The sequence below is a fragment of the Homo sapiens genome, chromosome 5 (genome assembly GCF_000001405.40).
Source record: "Homo sapiens chromosome 5, GRCh38.p14 Primary Assembly".
In the NCBI taxonomy this organism is placed as follows: Eukaryota; Metazoa; Chordata; class Mammalia; order Primates; family Hominidae; genus Homo; species Homo sapiens.
In genome coordinates this window covers 31532149-31559747 of record NC_000005.10, presented here as the reverse complement: position 1 = coordinate 31559747, position 27599 = coordinate 31532149, and the positions used below count along the sequence as shown (strand labels likewise).

General features: G+C 40.9%; 1 protein-coding gene across 8 annotated transcripts, besides 3 other annotated features; it reads right to left on the bottom strand.

The window, feature by feature from the left end:
• Positions 1-4694: 4694 nt before the first annotated feature.
• C5orf22 (chromosome 5 open reading frame 22) lies at positions 4695-27447 on the bottom strand. Of its 8 annotated transcripts, XM_017009607.2 has the most exons (11): positions 27275-27447; positions 25331-25476; positions 24697-24789; positions 23855-24004; positions 21059-21488; positions 18737-18799; positions 18346-18467; positions 14036-14102; positions 11061-11258; positions 8316-8455; positions 4695-6975 (listed from the first exon to the last, which is right to left on the bottom strand). In XM_017009607.2, the coding sequence occupies exons 1-11, from the start codon at positions 27353-27355 to the stop codon at positions 6846-6848; spliced, it is 1620 nt and encodes a 539-aa protein (XP_016865096.1). In that variant the 5' UTR covers positions 27356-27447; the 3' UTR covers positions 4695-6845. The 8 variants fall into 8 exon arrangements, 7 of the variants coding, with proteins under 7 accessions (XP_016865096.1, XP_011512364.1, XP_016865097.1 ...); XM_011514062.4 differs by lacking the exon at positions 11061-11258; XM_017009608.3 differs by lacking the exon at positions 24697-24789.
• Positions 27226-27275: an enhancer, noted in NCBI's record as "active region_22433". NCBI's record gives its function as "activates an Ori minimal core promoter by ATAC-STARR-seq in GM12878 lymphoblastoid cells {active_cell/tissue: GM12878}" and the evidence as "EXISTENCE:reporter gene assay evidence [ECO:0000049][PMID:35858748]".
• Positions 27326-27375: an enhancer, noted in NCBI's record as "active region_22432". NCBI's record gives its function as "activates an Ori minimal core promoter by ATAC-STARR-seq in GM12878 lymphoblastoid cells {active_cell/tissue: GM12878}" and the evidence as "EXISTENCE:reporter gene assay evidence [ECO:0000049][PMID:35858748]".
• Positions 27406-27575: an enhancer, noted in NCBI's record as "active region_22431". NCBI's record gives its function as "activates an Ori minimal core promoter by ATAC-STARR-seq in GM12878 lymphoblastoid cells {active_cell/tissue: GM12878}" and the evidence as "EXISTENCE:reporter gene assay evidence [ECO:0000049][PMID:35858748]".

Genomic DNA, 27599 nt, shown 5'->3' with positions numbered 1-27599 from the left:
CTTATCAGGCCTTACCGTAAGAACACAAAACAGATCACAAAACTACTGGGAAAATAACACAATTTGCCTTGGACTTCTTTTGTTTATAACACAGTTGTTCTATGGACACAATCATTATATTACAAGTATTTTTCTTTTAGCTGTTCTGGATTCTTGTATTCAGTACACTTAATCCTTGGTAAGTGTTCATCCTTGCATTAATGCATTTGTTTAATGTGCTCTCAAAGACGGCATGTTCATAATAGGATGTATAATATAGAGCAGATAATAAGGCTTATCACCACCGAGCCTCCAGTGACCATCACAATTTTTCAGTATTTATTAATTCATTATACATGTTTAGAGGCCTTATGGTGTGACAGGGACCATGCCAGAGACTGGAGCAACAAAAATGTATAAGGATGCACTCAAGGAGCTCATGGACAGATGGGGAGGGCAGAAATAGCTCACTGAAGTGCATTGACAGAGCATAGTTGTCCTGTAGGAACGCAAGCTGGGCCTTGAATCGTGCCTAAATCAAGGGACTCTGACACTTTAAGTTGTCCAACTTTATACAACTTGTAACGGGCAGAGGAAATACTTGGACTTAGACTGATTCCAAAGCCACCAATACTTCAGGTGCCACTTTGTGATGATGCTGCCCCTCATTATACCTGCTCCAGATGGGGCAATGCTGCAGAGGGCAGATGGTGTGGCTGTGCAGTTCTCAGAGTAATTTGCCCAAAAAGCTGGCCTTTGGGCCTAGCGCTAACCCTGACTTCAGCCTCCCTCCTTGAGTCATCAGCGTCAGCTGATGGGTTGTGATCTTATTAAGCCAAGCTGACAAAGGCATTCCCCCTTTCTCTAATGATCCCATTTTCCTTACCACTCAATAAGCTGAGGTTCATCTTTGGTCAGGCTGAGGCCCAGGTGAAGGAAATGCTTGGGAGTGGTTTGGGAAATACTGGTGAACTGGGTGGAGGTACCCACTTTACCCCACCTCCCTGTCACGCTTCGGCTGATTCATGAGGGATTTGTTGTTGTTATTTCAAGTTGCCTGTAAATCAGCTGTACCAAAAATGGTGAGGATAACCCTAGATTCTATGAAGGCAATTCGTAAGTCCAGGGGTAGCAACTTCCAAACACTGTCTACATCAAAAATTTGGCATCACAAATCTGAGTTTTATCTGCAAGCATGCAGAAGGGAAAGTATAAAGAAGCTGGAGCAAGCTTTGACTTCTTTGACCCTTGTAATTGCACGAGAGTATAAGATTTAAAATTGTGAATAAATGAATGCTTGCACCAACTGAAAGACAAAAGTTTTAAATTATCAGTAACTGCCTAAAGTGATCTCTTCCTTCCTTATGGGCAAGAACCCACCTTTTTTGAATAGACCTCTAACCTTGAAATTCTGTTATTCACAGATATATGATGGGGGCTGATAGGCGGTTGAAAATAATCAGTATTTGGAGAATTATGAGAAGAGCAGCCGAGACTGGAGCAGCCACCACAGGATATTCTCATTTGGGCTGAGTTTGGAAACAACAGCCAATGTTTACTAAATGATTCCAGTGCTGAGGGCTTTATATGTATTTTTCTTCATAATGTCCTGAGGAGTTAAGTTCTTTTTTTTTTTTTTTTTTGAGACGGAGTCTCGCTCTGTCACCCAGGCCAGAGTGCAATGGCGCGATCTCGGCTCGCTGCAACCTCTGCCTCCTGGGTTCAAGCGATTCTCCTGCCTCAGCCTCCTGAGTAGCTAGGATTACAGGTGCCCGCTACCATGCCCGGCCAATTTTTTTGTATTTTTAGTAGAGATGGGGTTTCACTATGTTGGCCAGGCTGTTCTCGAACTCCTGACCTCGTGATCTGCCTGCCTCAGCCTCCCAAAGTGCTGGGATTACAGGCGTGAGACACCGCGCCTGGCTGAGTTAAGTTCTCTTCTTGTAAAAGGGGAGCTGAGGCTTAAGAGAGGTCACAGAGCTCACACATGGGGAAGGGAACACTGGAGTCAGGTGGTTGGCCCCTGGAACCCACATTCTTACCACGTTCTCCTGCATTCAGTCATGGAACTTCTCACTCAGCTCAATTTTGGCATGAGTCACCTCAAATGGGGTGCAGGGGCTTTTTTTTTTTTTGAGATGGAGTCTCGCTGTCGCCCAGGCTGGAGGGCAGTGGCGCGATCTCGACTCACTGCAAGCTCCGCCTCCCGGGTTCGCGCCATTCTCCTGCCTCAGCCTCCTGAGTAGCTGGGACTACAGGCACCCGCCACCACGCCCGGCTAATTTTTTTGTATTTTTAGTAGAGACGGGGTTTCACCATGTTAGCCTGGATGGTCTGGATCTCCTGACCTCGTGATCCGCCCGCCTCGGTCTGCCAAAGTGCTGGGATTACAGGCGTGAGCCACCGCGCCCGGCCACAGGGGCTTCTAAATAGTGCTAATAGCTGACAGGCTTCAGAGCTCTGCTTGCTGTCAAGGAACGTTTGAAGTTAGCAAAATGGTAGAGATGCTGTAGTTGGAGGCTGGCTGACTATTCAATGAAGGCCCTCCAAGAAAGTAAAAATGTGCCATCTCAGCCTTGTTTTAGCCTCCATCACAGAACTCCTGTTTCTGAATTACAGGAATCAAACTGACAAGATATTAATGTATAGAATGCCAATTTACTAATTTGCAATGTTAAGATAGACCCTCCTAGTGAGTGACCAGAATGTTCACTGTTCAGAGAACTGTATTCTAAGAACCAAGGTTTGTGGGAATCTCCTTAGTTATTATAACTTCATTTGTGAATGCAAATGAGAATAAAGGGAAAGGATGGTGCTGATGTCTGGAATCCCAGGGTGCAGCTAGAACTGCAAAAGCAAGAGGCAGCCTAAGACCAATTAGTGCAGAAACAAGCACTGCAACTGCAACAAAAGTGCTACCACTGAAGTCGACACAGCAGAGCAGGACAATGAGTGTTTATAAAACTGACCCTCACTTTCATGTGAAGCCTAAAAAAAGAGTCAAACGTACAGAGCTACAGAATAAAACACTGGTTCCAACAGGCAGTGGAGAGGAGAAAATGGGTAATGTAGGTCAAAGAATGCAAAGTGGCTGACAGCCAAGATGAGCAAGCCTAGAGGACTACAGTTAATAATGCTGCAGTTCACTCAGGATTTTACTAAGAGATTTTAGGTGCTCTTATCACACATAAACATATACACACACACACACAAAGGGCAACTATGTGAGAAGTGGATATGTTGATTTACTATAGTAACCTTTTTACTATGTATATCAAAACATCATGTCGTACATCTTAAATGTTTACAATAGGCCGGGCACAGTGGCTGACGCCTGTAATCCTAGCACTTTGGGAGGCTGAGGCGGGTGGATCACGAAGTCAAGAGATCGAGACCATCCTGGCCAACATGGTGAAACCCTGTCTCTACTAAAAATCCAAAAATTAGCCGGGCGTGGTGGCATGCACCTGTAGTCCCAGCTACTTGGGAGGCTGAGGCAGAATTGCATGAACCCGGGAGGCGGAGCTTGCACTGAGCCGAGATTGCACCACTTCACTCCAACCTGGCGACAGAGTGAGACTCCGTCTCAAAAAAAAAAAAAAAAAATTACAATAAAAAATGCTGATTCTCAGCAAAGTATCACTATACTTTGAGAAGGCAAGACTGTATGTCAAGCATTTCTGAAAGATGTCAAACAAAAACTCCTGAAGTTTCACTGAAGTGCTCTCTCTTGAGATGTATGGTGAATGAGAGAATCTTGTACTGAGAAACACACCACTGACTATAAACTACTGGCAGTATGATGAATTTACTACCAGCAAGCCAGGGCCACTGCTGCGAAAACAAAGTCAAGACTAGGAGAGATTATCATAAAAAGAGTGAAGGAGGCCAGGCATGGTGGCTCACGCCTGTTATCCCAGCACTTCGGGAGGCTGAGGCAGGAGGATTGCTTGAGCCCAGGAGTTTGGGACCAGCCTGAGCAACATAGTGAGACTTCATGTCTACAAAATAATAATAATAAAAAGCCTAGCATGGTGGCACACACCTGTAGTCCCAGCTACTTGGGAGGCTGAGGTAGGAGGATCGCTTGAGCCCAGGAGGTTGAAGCTGCACTGAGCCAAGATCACACTACCGCATTCCAGCCTGGGCAACACAGCGAGACCCTACCTCAAAAAAAAAAAAAAAAAAAAAAAGTGTGAAGGACATTGACTAAGAGCTCCTTGAGAAGCTAGAACACATAAAGACCCGTGCCTATAGGAAATATTTCTTTCTTTTTTTTTTTTGGAGACAGAGTCTGTCTCCGTCGCCCAGGCTGGAGTGCAGTGGTGCGATCTTGGCTCACTGCAAGCTCCGCCTCCTGGGCTTCCGCCATTCTCCTGCCTCAGCCTCCGGAGTAGCTGGGACTACGGGTGCTTGCCTACACGCCTGGAGAATTTTTTTTTTTTTTGTATTTTTGGTGGAGACGGGGTTTCACCGTGTTAACCAGTATGGTCTCGATCTCCTAACCTCGTGATCCGCCCACCTCGGTCTCCCAAAGTGCTGGGATTACAGGCGTGAGCCACCGCGCATGGCCAACTATAGGAAATGTTTCTAAAGAGATCTAAAATTGACAGTCAAAAGGTTATTATGAAAGGCTGGACTTAAATTTTTTCCCCGTAGATACTAGGAAATACACAACTTATTAAGTTAAAGTCTACGCTTACACTTAAGTCACATTTTTTAAAAAGCCACTAAAATCCCATGCTTTAATGATATTAGTACACAATTCAAAACACTGTACCACGGTATCCCCTCACTGGTACTCAGAACACAAATGAAACACATCTTGATAAAGTAAATACCTTCCTATTTGGAATGTGCAAGACATAATTTACTAAGTTGATTCTTTTCAACTATTAGGGACTGAATTTTATTCTCAAAGAGATGATCACAGAACATGAGAATTAAACAAACCTTCCTATAAAAGAAATGGATGCTTTTATTCAACCTGAGTTAAAACCACAATGAATCATATCAGAGTTCATGGGAATCATAATAAATGACTAGTAAACCACTCACAAAATCAAAGCTATCAACATACTAGGATCACACACATTAATTAGTGCTATAGTTCAAAACATACCCTTTAACTTATTTAGCACGCAAAATAATCATAAAAGTAATGTCTATAAGCTCTAACCAAAAATTTTAAAAATTAAAAATAGCACAATTCTACAATTCTGATTTTACCAAGAAAATAAACCTTTTTTGGCACATATTATCCTATGAAAATGGAAAGCTGAGTCAGGCTGCTCTGCTTTTCACAGCACAAATAAGCATTCATGCTATCAGACTTGGGAAATTAACTCGGTGACAAAAATTCACTGGAAAATAGAATCCTTGGAAAAATGGGGTCAGGTGCCATCCACTGTGAGGCAATGATAATGTGTGTCCTTCGTTATTAGCACAAAGTTAGGCAGCACACTATAATTTTAGCTACATGCAACTCTATAGGAACACATGTGGGTAAGGCCTGAAAGTTACAAGCAAGAGTGAAAAGAACTGCTGTGTTGGGACTGAGGAATGATGGGTGTTTGTTTTTCTTTAAATGTCATTTCACCTTTTAAAGGAAAATAAATCAAGTAGGTAGGTAAAAATTACTGAACTAAAGAGATACTAAAGATCAGAAGACTGGCCAATTGAGAAAATCAAGTTTCATGATTAAGAGTGACTCAGGAAGGATGTCTTAGTTATGAGGGGGGTGGTGGAAGACAGTTTATATCTTTGGGTATTTATGGCAGGTCAGAATTAAAGATTTAACTTTTTCCCTTACTCTTTACATAAAAAGCTGGTTTATCTGAAAAAAGTATCAATCTAGACTTGGCAATAAAGTGGCACTTAGGCACTATATTATTGATATCTACAATGACCTCCTGGATGCACAAGAGACCCTGAAGGGCTTTTTTGATCAGCAAAACAAAAACAGAAAAGCAAAAAACAGTTAATTTTTGTTTGGTCAAGTTTACTCAACCAGACCACCTTGATACCAACAATGCTGGAGAGCATTTGGCAAGAGCAGGGCCACAATGCCAAATTCCTTGGAAAGGTAGACTTCCTATGATACTTTCATGGATTGGCAAATTTGTGGGGTTTTTTTGGTAGTAGCTTTTGAGAATGTTAGTTTCTGGCTGGGGTAGTGACTTACATCTGTAATCCCAGCACTTCGGGAGGCGAAGGCAGGTGGATTGCTTGTGCCCAGGAGTTTGAGACCAGCCTGGGTAACATGGTGAGACCCCATCTCTATTTTTATAAAATTAAAAAAAAAAAAAAAGATAGAGAATGTTACTTTCCTATAAAGCCATGATACCCTAAGTACTAAGACATGTCTGTTGTTGTCCTTTCCTTCATAACATTTCTCATAACCCGTAATTTACTTCTCATCTGTCTCCCCTAAAAGGGCAGGGGCCTTGTCTATTCTGTTCATTACCATATACCCAGCACTTAATAATGTCTGGTACATGTAAGTGTTCAACAAATATTAGTTGAATGAATAAATGAAGTATGAATGAATCTCATACAGCTCAACAGACCTGGGGGAAAAGTGAAGACAAACAAACAAACAAACAAAAAAAAAAACAAAACCCTAAAAAATACTTAAGGAAGACAGATAAGCAACAGTTCTATCAGTTGGGGTTATGAGACTTGATGCCAAAAAATTTACCATCATTCACAACTGACAATGGTTGTTCAGAGATTCAAAATATCTGAAAGATTTCAACTGAAAGTTAATATAAAACAGTGTTCTCTGGAAGACTCATGTACAAATAAGTTAATTAAGGGCCTGTTACTAAACCAAGATACAACAGGAGCCTAATGTTTTGTTTGTTTCAAGATGGAGGAGACTCTGCTGCATACACTTGGAGGTCTAGATTTCCATAGAGGGCACGTAGCATATTGAGGACCTTTTCTTGAATAGTGTCAACTTGGTCAGAAGGACAGTAATCATCCAGACTTGACCTAGAACCAACAGAAAGAGAAAGAAGAAAAATACACATAGGATAAAATCATACTGTGAGGAAAAGCTGCATGTGTTCATTTCAATGTAAAACAGAAATTAAGGTGTGCTGAACTTTGGATTAATATCAATTGAAAGCTAGTGAAGGTTTACCCCATGTTAGTCACCTTACATAAATTATGTTCTTTAATTTTCACAGCAACTCTATGAAATAGGCACAATTACTATCCCTTTAAAGAAATCTGAAAGAGATTAACCTGTGCAAGGTGACATGCGGTGTGTGCCTTAATGCTTGATTGCTAGACCATTGTTTGCCTGAAAGTGAGATGTTGCTTGGGAATACAGGGGCTTATTATCTTAGCGATGGAACATCTTTTATTATGTGTGTGCTAGGGCTAGAAATGATGAGGGTCGAGGTTTTCCAACTGATAAAAGGATCCTATTTCTAAAAATGATTTGTTAACTACAAAATTATAAAGGATCCATGGCTTGGTCCAAAATGAAATGTGGCGATGTGCTGGTGTTGGATTTACTTTCCTAGGCAGTAGGAAGCAGAAAAGAGCAAAGTAGGTTGGGGCAGATATCTGTATTTTGGGAGTCTTTCCAGAACTTACCAACTGCAACCTGAGTTGCACTGGGCAGTTACAATGCTGCTGCCAGTTACAACTGGATTAACCAGTGTCTCCTGGTTCCGGATAAGGGTGAATAAAGCCTTCTAGAGGACAGAGTGAGAAGAGCAGCACAGAAATCTTTATAGAAGAACTGGAATTAGTTATCTGGCCTACTCCTTAGTACAAGTATTTCAAACCTAAAGAGATAATCTGTAAGACCACTGATAAACTCATTTTACGCTCTAGTGACCAGGTTATTTACCTACAGAGATTGTATTAGTTTCCTACTGCTGCTATAAAAAATCACCACAAACTTAGTAGCTTAAAGCAACACTAATTTATTATATAGTTTTGGAGGTCAGAAGTCCTAAAATAAAGGTGCTGACAGGGCTGCATTCTTTTTGTAAGATCCCAGGGATAATCTGTCCCCTGGCCTTTTCTAGCTTCTAAAGGCTGCCTGTGTTCCTTAGCTTGTGGCCTCCACCTTCAAAGCCCGAAGTGTAGAATTTTCGAATCACTCTCTCTGATTCTGACCCTCCTGCCTTTCTCTTCTAATGACCCTTGTGATTACACTGGGCCCACCTGATAAATCCAGGATAATCTCATCTCAAAATCCTTGAGTTAATCACACTGCGAATTTCCTTTTGCCATATAATGTAACATATTCACAGGTTCCAGAGATTAGGATGTGCACATCTCTGATTTGCCATTATTCTGCTGAACACACTTACCTTGCAATTGTCACAAGAGTAGGATTTGGTAAATTTTTCAGCAAATAATGCACAGATTGAATAAGACACTCTATTTCTTGTTCTGTGCTGATATGGTGAGGAAGTTCTGAATAATCGCAGGTTAAACCAGCCTGGTGAACCTGAAAATAAGACAATTAAAAATTACACTGTATGACAGTTGTTTTTATAAGCTTCTTTAATCATTAATGGCCTTATTGACAAATCTTTACTTTTATTGATACATAAAAGATGTGCATATTTTCAGGGTACATGTGATTCATAATAGCATATAAAGATCAAATCAGGGTAACTGGGATATCCAACACCTTAAATATGAAAAACTTTTAATTTTTAATATTTTTATGCATTGGGATTATTTTTTCCTTAACAGTTTCTATGTCATAAAAGTTATCTGCTCTCTGAAGTGTTGGTAGAACTCGCCTATATGCCTGTCTGGGCCAGATGCCTCTTTTTAGAATAATTCTTTAACTACTTCATTGGGCTTGGGTCAATTTTGGTAATTCACATTTTCTATCAAATTATCCATTTCATCTAGATTCTAAAAAGTTGAGGCCAGGCGTGGTAGCTCATGCCTGTAATCCCAGCACTTTGGGAGGCTGAGACAGGCGGATCACCTGAGGTCGGGAGTTGGAGACCAGCCTGACCAACATGGAGAAACCCCGTCTCTACTAAAAATACAAAATTAGCCGGGCGTGGTGGCACATGCCTATAATCCCAGCTTCTCCTGCTAAGGCAGGAGAATCACTTGAACACGGGAGGCAGAGGTTACAGTGAGCCAAGATCGTGCCATTGCACTCCAGCCTGGGCAACAAGAGCGAAACTCCGTCTCAAAAAGAAAAAAAAAAATTGTACATATTCTTATCTCATTTTTAACACATTATTTTACTTACTTTTTAAATATTAATATGTGCACCTAGTACTACATTCAAAGCTTTGAGAGGATACAAGAGAAAATATTTATCCTACCTTATTTAACCAAACTGTTTTCTTGTGTATCCTTTATGTATAACCATAAGCTACTGCTATCTACCTATGTGTTTTAAATTTGAATGGAATATGTTCTAGTCTTAGCACTACACTAAACTTGCCTGAAAGTTAGAAGTGGCTCACATGCTACCATTCTGCAACCTTAACTTTAATGTTTTGAAAACTGGAACTTAACTATGTCATAGTTTTGCCTAGAGTACGCAAGTGCAAAGTATGAAAAAACACACTAATCAAATATTTTATTGGAGGCTTTGGATACACATCAACAATTTAACTGGCAATGATCAGTCAGTGTGATAAAAGGATGAATTCTGGATGTTCATTTTGCCAAAATGATAAAACTATTTAGCGTTCTATCTCTGCAGCTGTAGGGCATATCATAATGGATTACATAATCTGTGACTGAGCCCTAGCCATTCCCTGCCCCCCAAAAAACATCAAACCCACCCAACGAAAAAAACCCAGATGCAATGTAATGATTAAAGCAGACCTGCCTGCAGACATATTTGATAATATTGTATGAATTCAAAGCATTTTCTTTCTCTTTTTAAATTTGACACAAAGTCTCACTCTGTTGCCCAGGCTGGAGTCCAATGGCAGGATCTCAACTCATTGTAACCACCCAGGCTCAAGCAATCCTCCTGCCTCAGCCTCTCAAGTAGCTGGGACTACAGGTGTGCACCACCACACCTGGCTAATTTTTGTATTTTTTGTAGAGATGGGGTTTTGCCATGTTGCCCAGGCTGGTCTCAAATTCCTGGGCTCAAGCGATTTACCTGCCTTGGCCTCCCAAAGTGCTGGGATTACAGGTATGAGCCACTGCTCCTGGCCTCAAAACATTTTCAAACCTTAAGTATCTTATAACGATCTTCTTAATTACCATTTTTAAAAAGTGTAAGTCTTGGAAGTGTTTATTCAGGGCAATTTGAATATATGCTCCCAGGGGAAAAAAAAAAAAGTTAAACAAAAAAGTTTAAGTCTTGGATTTGCTTAGGTTTCACCAAAATATTCTTTTGCTTTGCTCATTATATGGTTTGGCTGTATCTCCACCCAAATCTCACCTTGAATTGTAACTCCCACAATTTCCATGTGTCATGGGAGAAACCTGGTGGGAGGTGACTGTGGGGGTGGGTCTTTCCTGCACTGTTCTCATGATAGCGAATGAGTATCAGGAGATCTGACAGTTTTATTTATTTACTTTTTTTGAGACAGAGTTTCACTCTTTTTGCCCAGGCTGGAGTACAATGGCATGATCTTGGCTCACTGCAAACTCCACCTCCTGGGTTCAAGCGATTCTCTTGCCTCAGCCTCCCGAGTAGCTGGGATTACAGGGATGCGCCACCACGCCCGGCTAATTTTGTGTTTTTCATAGAGATGGGGTTTCTCCATGCTGGTCAGGCTGGTCTCGAACTCCCGATCTCAGGTGATCTGCTCGCTTCGGCCTCCCAAAATGCTGGGATTACAGATGTGAGCCACTATGCCCGGCTGGAGATCTGATGGTTTTAAAAACACAAGTCTCGCTGCACAAGCTCTCTCTTCTTGTCTGCTGCCATGTGAGATGTGCCTTTCACCTTCTGCCATGATTGTGAGGCCTCTCCAATCATGTGGAACACTAAGTCCATTAAATCTCTTTCTTTTGTAAATTGCCCAGTCTTGGGTATGTCTTTATCAGCAGCGTGAAAACAGACTAATACAGTAAATTGGTACCAGTAGAGTGGAGCACTGTTGAAAAGATACCTGAAAATGTGGAAGCAACTTTGGAACTGGCAGAGGTTGGAACAGTTTGGAGGGCTCAGAAGAAGGCAGGGAAATGTTGGACAGTTTGGAACTTCCTAGAGACTTGTTGAATGGCTTGGACCAAAATGCTGATAATGACATGGACAATGAAATCCAGGCTGAGGTGGTCTCAGATGGAGATGAAGAACTTGCTGGGAACTGGAACAAAGGTGACTCTTGTTATATTTTAGCAAAGAGACTGGTGGCATTTTGCCCCTGCCCTAGAGATGTGTGGAACTTTGAAGTTGAGAGATGATTTAGCATATCTGGTGGAAGAAACTGCCAAGCAGCAAAGCATTCAAGAGGTGACATGGGTGCTGTTAAAGGCATCCAGTTTTTTTTTTTTTTGAAATGGAGTCTCGCTCTGTCACCCAAGCTGGAGTGCAGTGGTACCATCTCGGCTCACTGCAGCCTTTGCCTCTCAGGTTCAAGCGATTCTCTGCCTTAACCTCCTGAGTAGCTAGGATTACAGGTGTGCACTGCCACACCCAGCTAAGTTTTGTATTTTTAGTAGAGACGGGGTTTCAACATGTTGGCCAGGTTGGTCTTGAACTCCTGGCCTCAAATGATCCGCCAGCCTTGGCCTCCCAAAGTGCTGGGATTATAGGCGTGAACCACTGTGCCTGGCCAAGGCATTCAGTTTTAAGAGAGAAACAGGGCATAAAAGTTTGGAAAATTTGCAGCCTGACAATGTTAAAGAAAAGAAAATTCCATTTTTTGAGGAGAAATTCAAGCTGGCTGCAGAAATTTGCATAAGTAACGAGGAGCCAAATGTTAATCCCCAAGACAATAGGGAAAATGTATCTGGGGCATGTCAGAGACCTTTGCGGTAGCCCCTCCCATCACAGGCCTGAAGATTTAGGAGGAAAAAATTGTTCCATGGGCAGGGCCCAGGGTCCCAGTGCTGTGTACAGCCTAGGGACTTGGTGTCCTGTGTCTCAGCCATTCCAGCCATGGCTAAAAGGGGCCAACATAGAGCTCGGGCTGTGGTTTCAGAGGATGGCCTTGGCAGCTTCCTTGTGGTGTTGATCAAGCCTGTGAGTGCACAGAAGTCAAGAATTGAGGTTTGGGAACCTCTGCCCAGATTTCAGAAGATGTATGGAAACACCTGGATGCCCAGGCAGAAGTTTGCTGCAGGGGCAGGCCCCTCATGGAGAACCCCTGCTAGGGCAGTGTGGAAGGGAAATGTGGGGTCGGATCCCCACTGAGAGTCCCTAGGGGCACTGCCTAGTGGAGCTGTGAGAAGAGGGCCACTGTCCGTCCTCCAGATCCCAGAATGGTAGATCCACTGACAGCTTGTACTGTGTGCCTGGAAAAGCTGCAGACACTCAACACCAGCTCATGAAAACAGCCAGGAGGGAGGTTGTATCCCGCAAAGCCACAGGGGCAGAACTGCCCAAGACAATGCGAACCCACCTCTTGCATCAGCGTGACCTGGATGTGAGACATGGAGTCAAAGACGATCGTTTTGGAGCTTTAAGATTTGACTGCCCTGATGGACTTCAGACTTGCACTGCCCCTTTGGGCCAATTCCTCCCATTTAGAACGGTTGTATTTACCCAATTCTTGTACATCCATTGTATCTAGGAAGTAACTAACTTGCTTTTGATTTTACAGGCTCATAGGTGGAAGGGACTTGCCTTGTCTCAGATGAGATGTTGGACTGTGGACTTTTGAGTTAATGCTGAAATAAGTTAAGACTTTGAGGGACTGTTGGGAAGGCAGGATTGGTTTTGAAATTCGAGAACAGGAGATTTGGGAGGGGCTAAGGATGGAATGATATGGTGTGGCTGTGTCCCCATCCAAATCTCATCTTGAATTGTAACCCCCACAATTCCCACATGTAGTGGGAGGAAGCCGATGGGAGGTGATTGAATTGTAGGGGTGGGTCTTTCCTGTGCTGTTCTCATGATAGTGAATGAGTCTCACGAGATCTCACAGTTTTAAAAACAAAAGTCTCCCTGCACAAGCTCTCTCTCTTGTCTGCCACCATGTGAGACCTGCCTTTCACCTTCCGCCATGACTATGAGGTCTCCCCAATCATATGGAACTGTAAGTCCATTAAATCTCTTTTGTAAATTGCCCAGTCTCAGGTATGTCTTTATCAGCAGTGTGAAAATAGACATCTCTTATTTTAAAGAGTACCAGCAAATTCTTATAAATTCAATCAATACTTAAATCAATACTTCAACTTTAGTCAAACACAGTGGTCTGACTGTATTCCATAAGTAAATAAAATATGCAAACCCAGCTTACTGAAGTAAGAGAAAGACCACACTAAGAGGAAGGAGACTTGGAAGTCTTAGCCCTGGCATCAAATCTGAGAAAAGTCACTTGAACATTTTAAGCTATAGCTTTCTCATCTCAAGTACCAGGTCAAATGGGAAAATATATGCTTCAAAGACTGCAAAATGATATACAAATAAATTATGACTAAAAGTATCTTTGGCCATAGCATTCAGATACCTGTTGACAAACAGCTAACACATTTAAAATGTGCTAGTCACAGCTCTCTCTTTTTTCTTTGTCTTGTGGTTTTTACAAACGGAAAAGTTTTTAAATAGGGAGGAAAAGAAGGAAGGCAGAAGGCAGTATAAATACTCATCAATAAAAAATGGACCATTTTAGAAATTGTGTACTTTTCTTTTGTCTGGTGAAGAGAGATCCGACCACAGACAAAATTACAAAAAACACACAGGACTTTTGCTTCATACATAAAATTGAGAAAAAAAAGTTTTTCCTGGAAGACTTTTCCAGGAAAACAGTATTCTGTTTCAACGTATGTATTTTTTTCACTCATTTCTTTTCTTAATAATTGTTTCAGACTTCACAGGAACACAAACAAAAACGAACCACTTTAACAAAAAGGAAATTCTTCTACCCAGAAAATTGTCTTTACAAAGGGTCAATTTTACACATTAATATAAAATATTTACCATTTCATAGTCTGGTACTTCCATCCGTTTTTTCAAACTCTGTACAAGGGGAACTAGTGATTCCATTCTGGAAAAAAGCCATCCCACTCAATTAAACATCACAACCACCACAACTAAAATGATAATAGCAAATTATACATTATACTAACATTTACCATAATAACATGCTTCATATGGCACTTGGGAAATAAAAGATAAAGCTGTTCAAATATCTTAAAATATTAAGAAATAAATGTTTCCTGTTTTCTTACCCAAAAGATTACACATTGTGTTAAAGACTAAAAGTGAGCATTCAAGAAAATGAGATTTCTTCTTCAAAAATGGGAAGTTCTACTGACTTTAAAAATTATTTTGAGGCCAGGTGCGGTGGCTCATGCCTATAATCCCAGCACTTTGGGAGGCCGAGGCGGGCGGATCACTTGAAGTCAGGAGTTCGAGACCAGCCTGGCCAATGTGGTGAAACCCTGTCTCGACTAAAAATACAAAATTAGCCAGGTGTGGTGGTGCATGCCTGTAATCCCAGCTATTCGGGAGGCTGAGGCAGGAGAATTGCTTGAACCCAGGAGGCGGAGTTTGCAGTGAGCTGAGGCCGCACCATTGCACTCCAGCCAGGGTGACAAGAGTGAAACTGTCTCAAAAAAAAAAAAAATTATTTTGATTAGCAAGAAAACTAAGTGTTTTTAGCACACTGTGATGAAAAAAGGCTGTTTCCTGAAAGCTAAAAAAAAAAAAAAAAAATTAAGGACACGTTTATTTGTATATACAATTATTATTACTATTGAGACAGGATCTCACTACCACCCAGGCTACAGGGCAGTGGTGTGATCATGGCTCACTGCAGCCTCGAACTCCTGGGCTTAAGGAATCTCCCACTTCAGCCTCCCGAGTAGCTGGGACTATAAGTGAACACCACCACACCCAACTAATTTTAAAATCTTTTTGTAGAGATAGGGTCTTGCTATGTTGCCCAGACTGGTCTTAACTCTTGGCCTCAAGTAAGCCTTCCACCTTAGCCTCCCAAGTGTTGGGATTTTACAGGTGTGAACCCAGGCCTAGCCAGTAAATACAATTATAATCGGAAAAATCCTACATCATCTGATATAACATTGATGCATTTTTTTTTTTTTTGAGACAAGAGTCTCACTCTGTTGCCCAGGCTGGAGTGCAGTGGCACGATCTCGGCTCACTGCAAGCTCCGCCTTCCAGGTTCACGCCATTCTCCTGCCTCAGCCTCCCAAGTAGCTGGGACTACAGGTGCCCGCCACCACGCCCGGCTAATTTTTTTTATTTTTTAGTAGAGACGGGGTTTCACCGTGTTAGCCAGGATGGTTTCGATCTCCTGACCTCATGATCCGCCCGCCTTGGCCTCCCAAAGTGCTGGGATTACAGGCGTGAGCCATCGCGCCCGGCCACATTGATGCTTTTAAGGTATTAAGTTTAGGTGGACCTTTTGGAAGCTCTGATTGGCTAATGCTTCTAGTGTTTTAATTCCTCCTCCACAAATATTCACGAATTTGCTGGGAGTAAAAAAAGAAAGAAAAAAGGAGGCATGGAGGCCTGCCTGCTTGCCCACTTGTCCTGTTACTTTTTCCTTTTAATTAATGACATTTTCTAGGCTTCTGGACCCTAAACACCCACCTCACTTCCCTAGACATAGCGAAGCCTCCATGCCGAGGGTCTGGCTCTTTAGGGTCATGGTTGGTTTGGGGAGACTTTTCTTTCAGTGTCATCTACTTTTCCTTTATGCTATTTTTTTTCTCCCTTCAATACCAAGCACAGTCTAAACTCACTACTGTTGCAGTCTCATCATATTTTCAAGTCTGTGATAGAACTCTCTGCTGGTGATGAGGAGCTAACTGGGCATGCTCAGTAGGCAGAGTGGGTTTCAGTGGAAGTCTGTGGGCTGGACTTAGGATTCCAAGGTTTCCAGGCCTATTTTGTTGTTGTTGAAGTTTTAAACTTAGCTTGAGACTTCATGAAATAACAAAATAATAGGTATTTTTCAGTATTTCTAGGAAGACTCCTGTCCTGTGACTTATTTTTCTATCTCCCTCTTCTATCATTTCAAAAAACAGGGAATCATTTTAGAACCCTATACTGAAGAGGAAAAAGCATTAACTGATTTTTTTTTCTTTCTTTTTTTGAGACAGGGTCTCCCTCTGTCACCCAGGCTGGAGAGCAGTGGTGCGATCTCAGCTCACTGCAGCCTTGACCTCCCAGGCTCAAGTGATCCTCCCACCTCAGCCTCCCAAGTAGCTGGGGCCGCAGGTGCATGCCACCATGCCTGGCTAATTTTTTGTATTTTTTTGTAGAGACAGGATTTCACCATGTCACCCAGGCTGGTCTCGAACTCCTGAGCTCAGGCGATCTGCCCACCTTGGCCTCCCAAAGTGCTCAGATTACAGAGGTGAGCCACCACGCCCGGCCATTAACTGATGTTAAAGTGCCTAATCAATACTTACTGATGTGATTAATATTACTGTGAATTATTCTTCCACATCACTGCTTTGTTAGTGTCAATAATTAAAGCTTTATGATGTTTACATTTTAGGGATGTTTCTGAATATTTTAAGTAAAAATTACAATGAGTATTTTGAATAGATAATACGTGCACATAGCAAAAGAAGTAATTTCTCACTCATATACTTCATCATTTAGCCATAGAATTCCTCTCCCCAGAGGCAACCACTGTTTCAGCTTTTTCCATATTCTTCTAGAGATCTGCTGAATTATTTTTAATAACCAAAACATGACAAATCTTAGTGGCTGTTCATGTTCTGGCCTAAAGTACTATTGATTCTAATTTCCCGTTTTATCTTGCTACCTTACAACTGATTTTCTTTTGTTTACACCAGAGAGAATAATATGACAGTTCGTGGGAGATTAGTTTTAAAATAAGCTAGTTCTGGTTTTCCTATGCTCATGGGGACAAAAAGTTTGTCTGATGGTTTTATTTTAGTTTTCTGGCTGTTTGAGATTACATGATTTAAGAATTATTTTAGAGAAAAATCACTGTAATATTTATGTCAATATTCTTTCACTCCAGCTTCAATACCAAAGGCTTTCACTCAAAAAGAACTTCTCTCTCCATTCTTTCAAGGTGATATGAACAGCCAGTCAAATAAATTACCTGATGGAGAATCTAGCCTTCAAATACTGCTCCTTCACGTCAAGAGATTGAAAATACCCTTCCACTTGTGTTTGGGTTTTCCTTAAAAGAAGCTAAGTTTTCGCTTTTTTTTTTTGAGACGGAGTCTCAGAAAAAGTCCAGTCTCCACAGGCTGGAGTGCAGTGATGCAATCTCGGCTCACTGCAAGCTCCGCCTCCCGGATTCACGCCATTTTCCTGCCTCAGTCTCCCGAGTAGCTGGGACTACAGGCGCCCACCACTATGCCCGGCTAATTTTTTTTTTTTTTTGGTATTTTTAGTAGAGACTGGGTTTCTCCGTGTTGGCCAGGATGGTCTCGATCTCCTAACCTCATGATCCGCCCGCCTCAGCCTCCCAAAGTGCTGGGATTACAGGCGTGAGCCACCACGCCCAGCCAAATTTTTGCATTGTAATTTACTTGTCAAGTAATTTACTTTTCTGTTGTTAGGTTAGTATTTCTTTCTTACTCTACTTAGAACAGGGAATGCCTATGTACTACTCATCTTTAATTCTCTTTAAGACCTTGTATAGTATCTCATATTTAGGGGCAGCTACCATACAAAGACTAAAAACATGCCCACTTACTATGTGACTTGGGGCAATTTACTTAACCTTGGTTTCCTCATCTATAAAATTGACATAATAATAATAAAACCATAAGACTGTTGTAAGGAGTACATGAGATAAGGCAAGGAAAAATCTTAGATAAAGGGTACACAGAAAACACTCAATAATGTCTACTATTGTTAGTAAATGTGTTGAAATTTAATACTAATTCTTTTTTTTCTCTCTTTTTTGAGACAAGTCTCTGTCACCCAGGGTAGAGTGCAGTGGCATGATCACAGCCCACTACAGCCTCAAACTCCTTGGCCCAAGCAATCCTCCCACTTCAGCCTCCCAAGTAGCTGGGAGCAGTGGCTGTAGTGGCTACAGGTAGGTGCCACCATATCTGGCTAATTAAAAAACCTTTTTTTAGAGACAGGGTCTTGTTACATTACCCAGGCTGGTCTGGAACTCCTGGCCTCAAGTGGTCCTCTCCTGCCTCAGTGTCCCAAGTAGCTGAATACTACTTTTTTAAAAGCAATGTATCTTGCAAATTTAGGAACATATCTAGGACTGAAAGTTAGTAGAGTTGGGGGAAAAAAATGTTTGAGAGTCTTACCCAGGGTTTGAAGCCCATCTCTGTACCGTTTCTTCATCATCACCATCACACAAATCAGCGAAAGTGGCTTCTAAATCCTCTAATTGATGAATTCGAGTATCAACAATATCTACCAAATCTTCCTTTAAATACATTGAAAAGCTGAGATTATATAGTTATTCTTTCAAAAAACAAGCAACATCCCATTACAAAAAAAACTTGGCTCTATTAGTTAAAACATAATTTTCAAGTACTAACCATGGGCTTCGCCAATACACACACACACACACACACACACACACACACACACACACACACTTTGAGCAGTCTTTGAGATCACTGTGGTAATTTGCAAGATATTATTAGTTATATGATAAATGAATAAAACCCCAAAGAAACAAATGGAGGATACCTCTGTTAGGTTGGTGCCAGGTTTCTTAAATTGGTACAGCTCTTGTAAGATTTTGTACTCTTCCTGGAAAACAAAACAAAAAATCCACATACCAGAAAAAAAAAAGTTAAAATTTTTTAATGATATGCTTTAAGGAAGAGACAACCTTCCTTGTGATACAAGAACATCTTAGATAATTATTTAAAGGTATGTATGGGAGAATCAGGCAAAATGTATACTTTAGATTTTTATTGTAATAATTTTATTGTAAATATTGTAAAATTTTGTTTTATTGTAAATATCACTTCTTCAAGGCAACTCTATCCAGCTGGGCATGGTACTACTATGTAAAAATTACCTAAGGAAGCATACTTGGTGGCTAATGGGTCACGAGATGAAAATATTTTAAATAATATTCTGCTATATAAATGCCATGTCCTAGGATCTAAACAGACTTAGCTGTTTACAGGAAATATACATATCTTTAATAACAACAACAAAGAACTCCCTATGTTCACTTTGCAGCCATTTCTCTAACAACAGAAGAGATCTCTGAAGTACAAAGGCAATACTGGAGGTAGAATGTCAAAGACATAGAACCTCGGTCAGGAGGCACCACACAAGGGGAGAAAGAGGCTTGCTATACAAACTTTGTAGGATAATGTTTCCCCTTGTTTAGCACAGCTACATGGATCCATTATATAGGTGGGTACACCTGGCCCCAGTAATCCTATTTAGGAGTATTCTCAGGAAAAGGTTATACCCAAGGGCTAAAATTCATTAAGCACAATGTTGTGGCATATCTTCAGTGCTTTATTCATTATAACAATCCTGAGTTGGGTATGATTATTATTCTGATTTGATACTTGAAGAAACTATGGGTCGGAAAGGTTAAGTAATTTTCCTAAGATCATATAGCTAATAAGCAGTAGAGTTAACAACAGAACTTAACTCCCCTAACTTTTGAACATGCTTCTTTTTTATGAGATGGGGTCTCGCTGTCACCCAGGCTGGAGTGCAGGGGTGCGATCACGACTCACTGCAGCCTTGACCTCCCAGGCTCAAGTGATCCTCCCATCTCAGCCTCCTGAGTAGCTGGACCACAGGCACGTGCCACTATGCCTGGCTAAATTAAAAAAAAAATTTTTTTTTAATAGAGATGGGGTCTTGCTACGTTGCCTACGCTGTTCTCAAACTCCTTGGCTCAAGTGGTCCTCCTGCTTTGGCCTCCCAAAGTGCTGGGATTATACGCATGAGCCACCATGCCCAGCCTGAACATGCTCTTAAGAAAAAAAAAAAGATGAACATCTGTCTTTCCTAATGATATTTAAAAAATTGCTACTAAATAATAAAGTTTAATATATGCTTTTTAAAAAGTCCATTGTACCAAAGGGTATTTAGGCTATACAAATCCTTGTGTTCCCAGGTTTCCTAATAGCACTCTAAAAGGAATAACTGCCACTGAATTCCTTATGTAACCTTCTAGAAACTTTCATTACAAATATTTATTACAAATATTTAGGTGAGTAATCAGGCACATCACTGTTTAAGGAATAATCTGTTACACAGGATTTATATATAGAATATCGCTGGAAAGATACACAAGAAACTGATCACAGTATTTGTTTCTGAAGCAAAGAACTGAGGGAATGGGGATAAGAGAGTGCTGTTTTTCAATGTACACTTGTCCCTTGGTATCCGTGGGGGATTGGTTCTGGGACCTCCTGTGGATACCAAAATCTGTGGATGCTCAAGTCCCTGACATAAAATAGTGTAGTATTTGCATATAACATATGCATACCCTCTCATATACTTTAAGTCATCTCTAAATTACTTGTGGTATCTAATACAGTGTAAATCCTATGTAAATAGTTGTTATACTGTATTGTTTTTTATTTGTATTATTTTTTACTCTTGTATTGTTATTTCTAGTTGTTTTTTATTTTTTCTGAATATTTCCTATCTGTGGCTGGTTAAATCCAGGAATACAGAACCCACGGATACAGAGGGCTGACTGTATATACCTGTACTGTATGACTTAATTTTTATCCATCACCCATGTATACATTACCCCAATTAATAAATGCAAAATAATGAATACTATCTAGAGCAGGAGTTGGCAATCCACAGCCTATAGCCTGTTTGTGTATGGCCCTCAAGTTAAGAATGGTATATACAACTTTAAAAGGTTTAGAAAACAACAGAAAAGGGTATTAGTAGAGAATGTGAACCCCAAAGCCTAAAATAATTGCTAGCTGGCTGTTTAAAGAGTTTGCTGGTTCCTCATCTAGAGAAAAGCCATACAATTCTCAAGATCTATGTGTTAAAAACACAATTATTTACCTGAGTGAACATTTCTTTGAAGGGATTCTTGACTGAAAAAAAATCCAAGTCAATATCTAAAACAAATGCCTTCCCTTTCTTCAAAATTTCCAGAATTTCCCCAGTGCTGGCAGCAGTCTGGCATTCCTGATTTTCAGAAGAACATGAACATGATGGTTCTAGGCAAGTCTGGTCACTTCTCTGTGTTGCTGTGTCCTTTTCCAGTCCTTCTGAAGAAGAGTCACAGTTAGTAGAGGCAGTGTTTTCCGAATCTTCCAGGGCTAGCTTTGGTTTCTTAGCAGAAGACACTGCATCGTTTTCTTCTTGATTGTTACAGAGTTTATAAGGTTTTACCATAATTACATCCAATTGTAAAGGTTTTTGGTTCTCTAGCTGGTCTTCAGGTACATACAGACCATCACTTAGGAAATAATGATCTGTACTTGTAACCCTGAATCAGAGGAAAAAACGATTTTTAAGAAGAATGGGCAAATCAGTTGACATTTCACTATGGTATGGCAGAAATATAAGAACGGACCTATTTGACAAAAACTGAGAGCAGTCTCTAGTATTTATACTTCCTGTTCTTCTGTAGAAATAGCATTCCTCAAATTCTTAGCTGGACACACAGCTGCCCCATATAAAGACTACATTTCAGTCTGCCTTGCAGCCTGGTGTGGCCATGTGATTAAATTAAGGCCGGTGGTTGTGAATGGAAGAAAAGCATGCAGAGCTTTGTTCTCCTGTTCCCTGCTGACTGGCATATGAACACAGAGGTGGCAAGCCACCCTGGACTATAAGGACAGGGGCAATATTCTAGAGACGGTGGTGCAAAAAGGTAGAAGGAACTAGGGTTCCCCAAACTCTAGAGCTGCCACATAGGCCTGGACTGTGTACAGTGAATTCTAATATAAGAATAAACTCTCTTGTTTAAGCCAGTGTTCCTTTGTTCTCTCTCATACCAGCTGAATCTTTATCCAAAAAATCATTGAAGAGAAAAATTTCATCTGGAAATAATTTCTCTTAATAGAAACTCCCCCTGACATATTTTAGAGCTTTGTTAATTTCTATATAACCATAATATTCTCAGTATGAAAGGTGACTTGGTAAATACTTCAAACAGTGAAGCCAAATACTTCTTCTAGAGGCATGCCTTACCCACCTAAAATCATGGTTAATATTTATTTCCCACTTGACCTCTCCCAGCATACACAGCTATAAACTGTAAAAGCTATTTTCCAAAAATAGATTAATGACATAGTAAAACTAATGTCCAAGCTTATTAAAACTGTACAACCCTAAGATGAAGCTGTATCCCCCAACCTAAATTAATATTCTTTTTAATAACAGCAGTTCTCCCATGTTCCTATCATACAAACATGCAAGTATTTGTCAAACTGCACACCAACATGTATATGTGTCTCTTCCATACATTTTTACTTGCAGGATTAACCAAAGTCATGAATCAAAATCTTCCAAAATTGTTAATCACACGTGGAGTTTCAAATGTCTGTGTCAGATTGCTGAAAATTATTTGATTTTGTAGGTTAAATCAGGCCTACTCACTGAAGTACTCAATAAAAACCCTACTACTATTTCACATATACCAGTAGTATGTACAATATTTATATGCTGAGTCTTAATTATTTCTTTTGAATTATATCTGAAATAAATACAATTTTCATATATCACAACAAAGCTATTTGTGCAAACGACAAGATTATATACTACAAAAGTTAATTGTATCATTAAGAATAAATTAGAAATAAAGTATCATTTTCAATGAGGAAGACTATCTGATTTTCAACGTATTACCATTTCACTCCATTATCCTTAAGGTTCTAGAAAGTTATGGCTATACTGTTTAAAATATTTATCCCATCACAAGAGAATTTTAAAGTCAAGAACATATTGATATTTCTGAAAGTATTATAGTATCACAAGATACACAAAACATTGTTAAATAGCTTATACAATAAAAACAGTTGCATATTTATCTCAAGTCAGAGGATACTGTAATTTACTTTAGATTAAGTACTTATCTGAAACTAATTATATTATAAAGAAAATTAAAGCCCCAAATCTACTTATTCAGCAGTTGGATTTATAAAAAAATCAAAGTGAGATAATTTTGCCCTTTCACTGCTAATTACTGTTTTTTTGTTTGTTTGTTTTTTGTTTTGTTTTTGAGACAGAGTCTCACTCTGTTGCCCAGGCTGGAGTACAGTGGCACGATCTCAGCTCACTGCAAGCTCTGTCTCCTGGGTTCACGCCATTCTCCTGCCTCAGCCTCCTGAGTAGCTGGGACTACAGGCGCCTGCCACCACGCCCGGCTAATTTGTTTTTGTATTTTTAGTAGAGACGGTGTTTCACCATGTTAGCCAGGATGATCTCGATCTCTTGACCTCGTCTTCTGCCCACCTCGGCCTCCCAAAGTGCTGGGATTACAGGCGTGAGCCACTGCGGCAAATTCAGCAGACAACAGTTATACTGACAGGAAACAGTAAAATGTACTACTGAATGTATAAATCTATAAGATACTTCAATGGCTTAAGGAGTTAATCACCAATGAAGCCCAAATTCCGGAGGATAATGATCACATTCAAAATCTAATTTGACCAGCAACTAAATATAAATGGTACATGAAGAATATCAAGAGACTTAAAAGTTTGTTCTTCGTGTTTTGAGAACTCTTTGGAGAAGTCGAGGCTTAATCTGACCCTATTTGTGTGCAGAGACTTATGAAGTTATTATAGGAATCCAAAATAAGATAGAAACATTCAATCACTTCCATATTCACAAATATGAGGAAATTACCTGATTGTTGTGGTAGAAGTGTCTTTGCCTACTAAAAAGTGGTGTCTGCCCTCTCTGATCTGCTGAGCCCATGTGGGATGAAACCATATTACATGTGAAAAATGGCCAGCATAAACTGCAGGCATAATCCAATTTTCAATACTTAATTCTCTGGAAAAGAAACATAGAGACAACATTAAAACTTTTATTTTTATTTTTTCCCAAGTGTAATTTTATCCACAACATTTTAAGACCACAGGTCTCAAAGTGTGGTCCCTAGAGTGGTTCCTGAGACTTTTTCAGGGACATCACTATTACAAAACTATTTTCATGAAAATACTAAGGCATTATTTCCTGTTTTCATTTACTGACATTTGCAAAGATGGTGCAAAGGCACTGGTGGGTTGATGTTCCAACATTAATTAAGGCAGCAGCACCAAACTGTTAGTAGTTACTATATTCTTCATTACCAACCACTGCCAAAATAAATAAATAAATAAATATAAAAGTGTCATTCGAGAACATCTTGATTTTATTAAATTTCCATCCTGAGTATACATTTTTAAATATTATGTGTGGCAAAATGAGAAATGCACAGAAAGCTCTCCTGCTACATAGTTTGAAGCATAACAGTTGTCTCAAGGAAAAGCACTTGTGATTGAACTTTGAGGTGAACACCATTTATCTTGAAAGGAGTGGTCAAGAAACTATGGTTATTCACACTTGATACTGAATTGCTGAATTCTACATTTCAAATAAGCTTTAATAAACTACTACTTTTCAAGTTTTGGCGCACTATCAAAGAATATTCACAATTATCTAAAAAGGCTATCAAAATATTCTTTCCTTTTCCAATTACATGCCTGTGAAAGCCTGAATCTTCATCATATATTTCAACCAAAACAGCATATGGCAATGGACTAAATGCAGAAATAGACGTGAGAATCCAATGGTCTCTATAAAGGCAAATATTAAAAGGATTAAACATTGGCTAGGCTGTTTTTGTAAACAAAGTTTTTTTGGTTTGTTTCTTTTAAGAGATGGGGTCTGGTTATGTTGCCCAGTCTGGAGTGCAGCAGCTATCCACAGGCTTTGATCACAGCCTGGAACTGCTGGCCTCAAGTGATCTTCCCACCTTAGCTTCCTGAGTAGCTGGGACTACAGGCTCATCCACCATGCCCAGCTTGTAAATAAAGCTTTATTGGAACACAGCTACTGTCATTTGTTTACACAGTGCTTGTGATTGCTTTCACACTACAAAGGCAAAGATTAATAGTTGCAACAGAGACCATATAGCCAGCAAACCTAAAATATTTGCTAATCTGGCTCTTTAAGAAAGTTGTCAACACTTGTTCTAAATAAAATGAAAAAGACAAAAAGACAAACAAAAAACCCCCAAACCCATGAGTTTAGCAAAGTCTATTTCCTATAATTGCTTATTATCTACTGCAAATTGTACTTCAAACACAAAAGACCATAAATAAAATCACATATTACCCAAAGAGTGTTTCCTTATCAAACACGGTGTCTGCTGGCATATTCACAGGAATAAGGAGGTCTGGATGTGAGTCGAAATGTAAAAAACTTACATTACTGGCAGGAAGATGCTTTGAGCCTATGGCCCGGTATATAAAGGGTAGAACCTGTAAAAGACACAGGCACACAATAAGAATTAACACTGAAACCATGAGCACACACTCAACTGCAGACTGAAAAACAATGCTAAATAATGCACATAATTGAAAGCATACTATGTTGCTGTAAAGTGGAAAAACATAAAATTTGTTTACTGTAGATGGTGCAGATGATAATCTCAAGCATTACTTTGTCCTCAGAACTTCCAACCTGCATCTCCAGCGGCCTTCCTGCTGCCCCCTTGAACTCAACAGGTCATGTGGGGAAACAGACCAGGACTGGGGCTCAGGAACAAACTACCGCTTAATGCCTGTTCTAACATTAACTAGGTGTTCAAGGTACCCTAGGTCTCAAAGTATTCTTTTTTTTCCTTTAAAAAGGGATAGGGGCTTGTCAGTTGCCCAGCCTGGAAAGCAGTGGTGTGATCATGGCTCACTGCAGCCTTGGACTCCTGGGTTCACACGATCCTCCCACCTCAGTCTCCTGAGTAGCTGGGATTACAGGCACGCACCACTACGCCCAGCTAATTTTTTCACTTCTATTTTTGTAGAGATGGGATTTCGCTCTGCTGTCCAGGCTGGTTAGGGTCTTTTTGGTACACTTAGAATGGTGGGGTTGGGCTAGGTGGTCTATAAAGGCCATTTCTCCTCTTACATCTTCTCTAATTCTAGGTTTAATACCTAATTTGAAAGCACCGTCTAACCTAGGCTTTCTCATTCTCTCAAGGTCATAGACACTATATCCAGGTCCTGAGAAACCTATCTTCCTCTCCTATTAGCTGTCACCAACAGTAAATCCCTCTTCTTTTTTAACGTCCAGAGAACTGCCTCCCATCCCAAGCCTACTGATGCTACTTTAAAACATATTTATTAGATCCATGGGCCTCCTTTGTTGACTTGGAAAAGTCTAGATTAAGACACCAATTTGGCTACTGTAAATCAGCACGGCCATAAACATGGAAACCCCTTTTAGTGTTTATCTATGCAGGGCACCGTGTTAAATTTTTTTTTTTTTTTACGCAATATGGGCCGTGCGCAGTAGCTCACGCCTGCAATCCCAGCACTTTGGGAGGCCGGCGGGGGCCGATCACGTGAGGTCAGACTTTCAGACCATCCTGGCTAACGTGGCGAAGCCCCGTCTCTACTAAAAATACAAAAATTAGCTGGGTACGGTGATGCGTGCCTGTGATCCCAGCTACTCAGGAGGCTGAGACAGAAGAATCGCTCGAACCCAGGAGGCGGAGGTTGCAGTGAGCCGAGATCGCGCCACTGCACTCCAGTCTGGGTAACAGAGAGAGACTCCGTCTCAAAAAAGAAAAAAAAAAGATTTTTAAACACAGTATGCACACAATAATACTCCTAAGAGCCCTGTGAGTCCTACGATTACTGTCCCCATTTCAGATCAGAGCCCACGTTCCAAGCATAAAGCCTCCCATCTAAACAGCAGGGCTGTGGTGGCGATTCCAGGAGATACTTGGAAGCCAGAGTTAACTGCAGGTTAAGAACACAGGGCTCTGCAGCCAGACTGTCCGGTTTCGAATCCCGATGCCACCTTTTGTTTGGTTCTGGGATTTGGGGGCAAACCGAGGTAAATAAGTTGCCCCGACTCGTAGGAAGCGCCCATAAATGTCAGTTCTCATTCTTCCTAGTTAGCTGTTTTGGGGTCCTCTCCACAGCAACGGAATAGGGCAGTTTAACTCTGGTTAACTCTCTGGCCTCCGATGCTAAGGTTGCGCCCTCTGCTTGGCCCTCTGAGCGTCAGGGCTTCCGCTGATTCTGCCCCAGAGCCCTGTTGCCGTCCGCTCACCTCCTGATGATCCTCCACCACCCACACTGGGAGCTTGGGGTAACGCCGGAGACCAGCGCGCCCTCCCGCGGAGTCACTCATGTTTTTGCGCCCGTCAGTTTTGCAGTAAAGCGGTGGCAGCTGGAGAAGACCCGGGAAAGCCGGCGCCTCATCCCGGCCAGCTCTCTCCGGGCGGAAGCGCTCCCTCACCCGGTTGCGTTTTCGGATTGGAGGACGTAGGGGGAGGGGGCGCGGGCTCCAAAGGGTCTTTTGCTGACGATTGGTCTAGACGTCCATCGCTTTCGTTGACGCGCCAATCACCGCGCACAAGGCCCTGCGGTGGGCT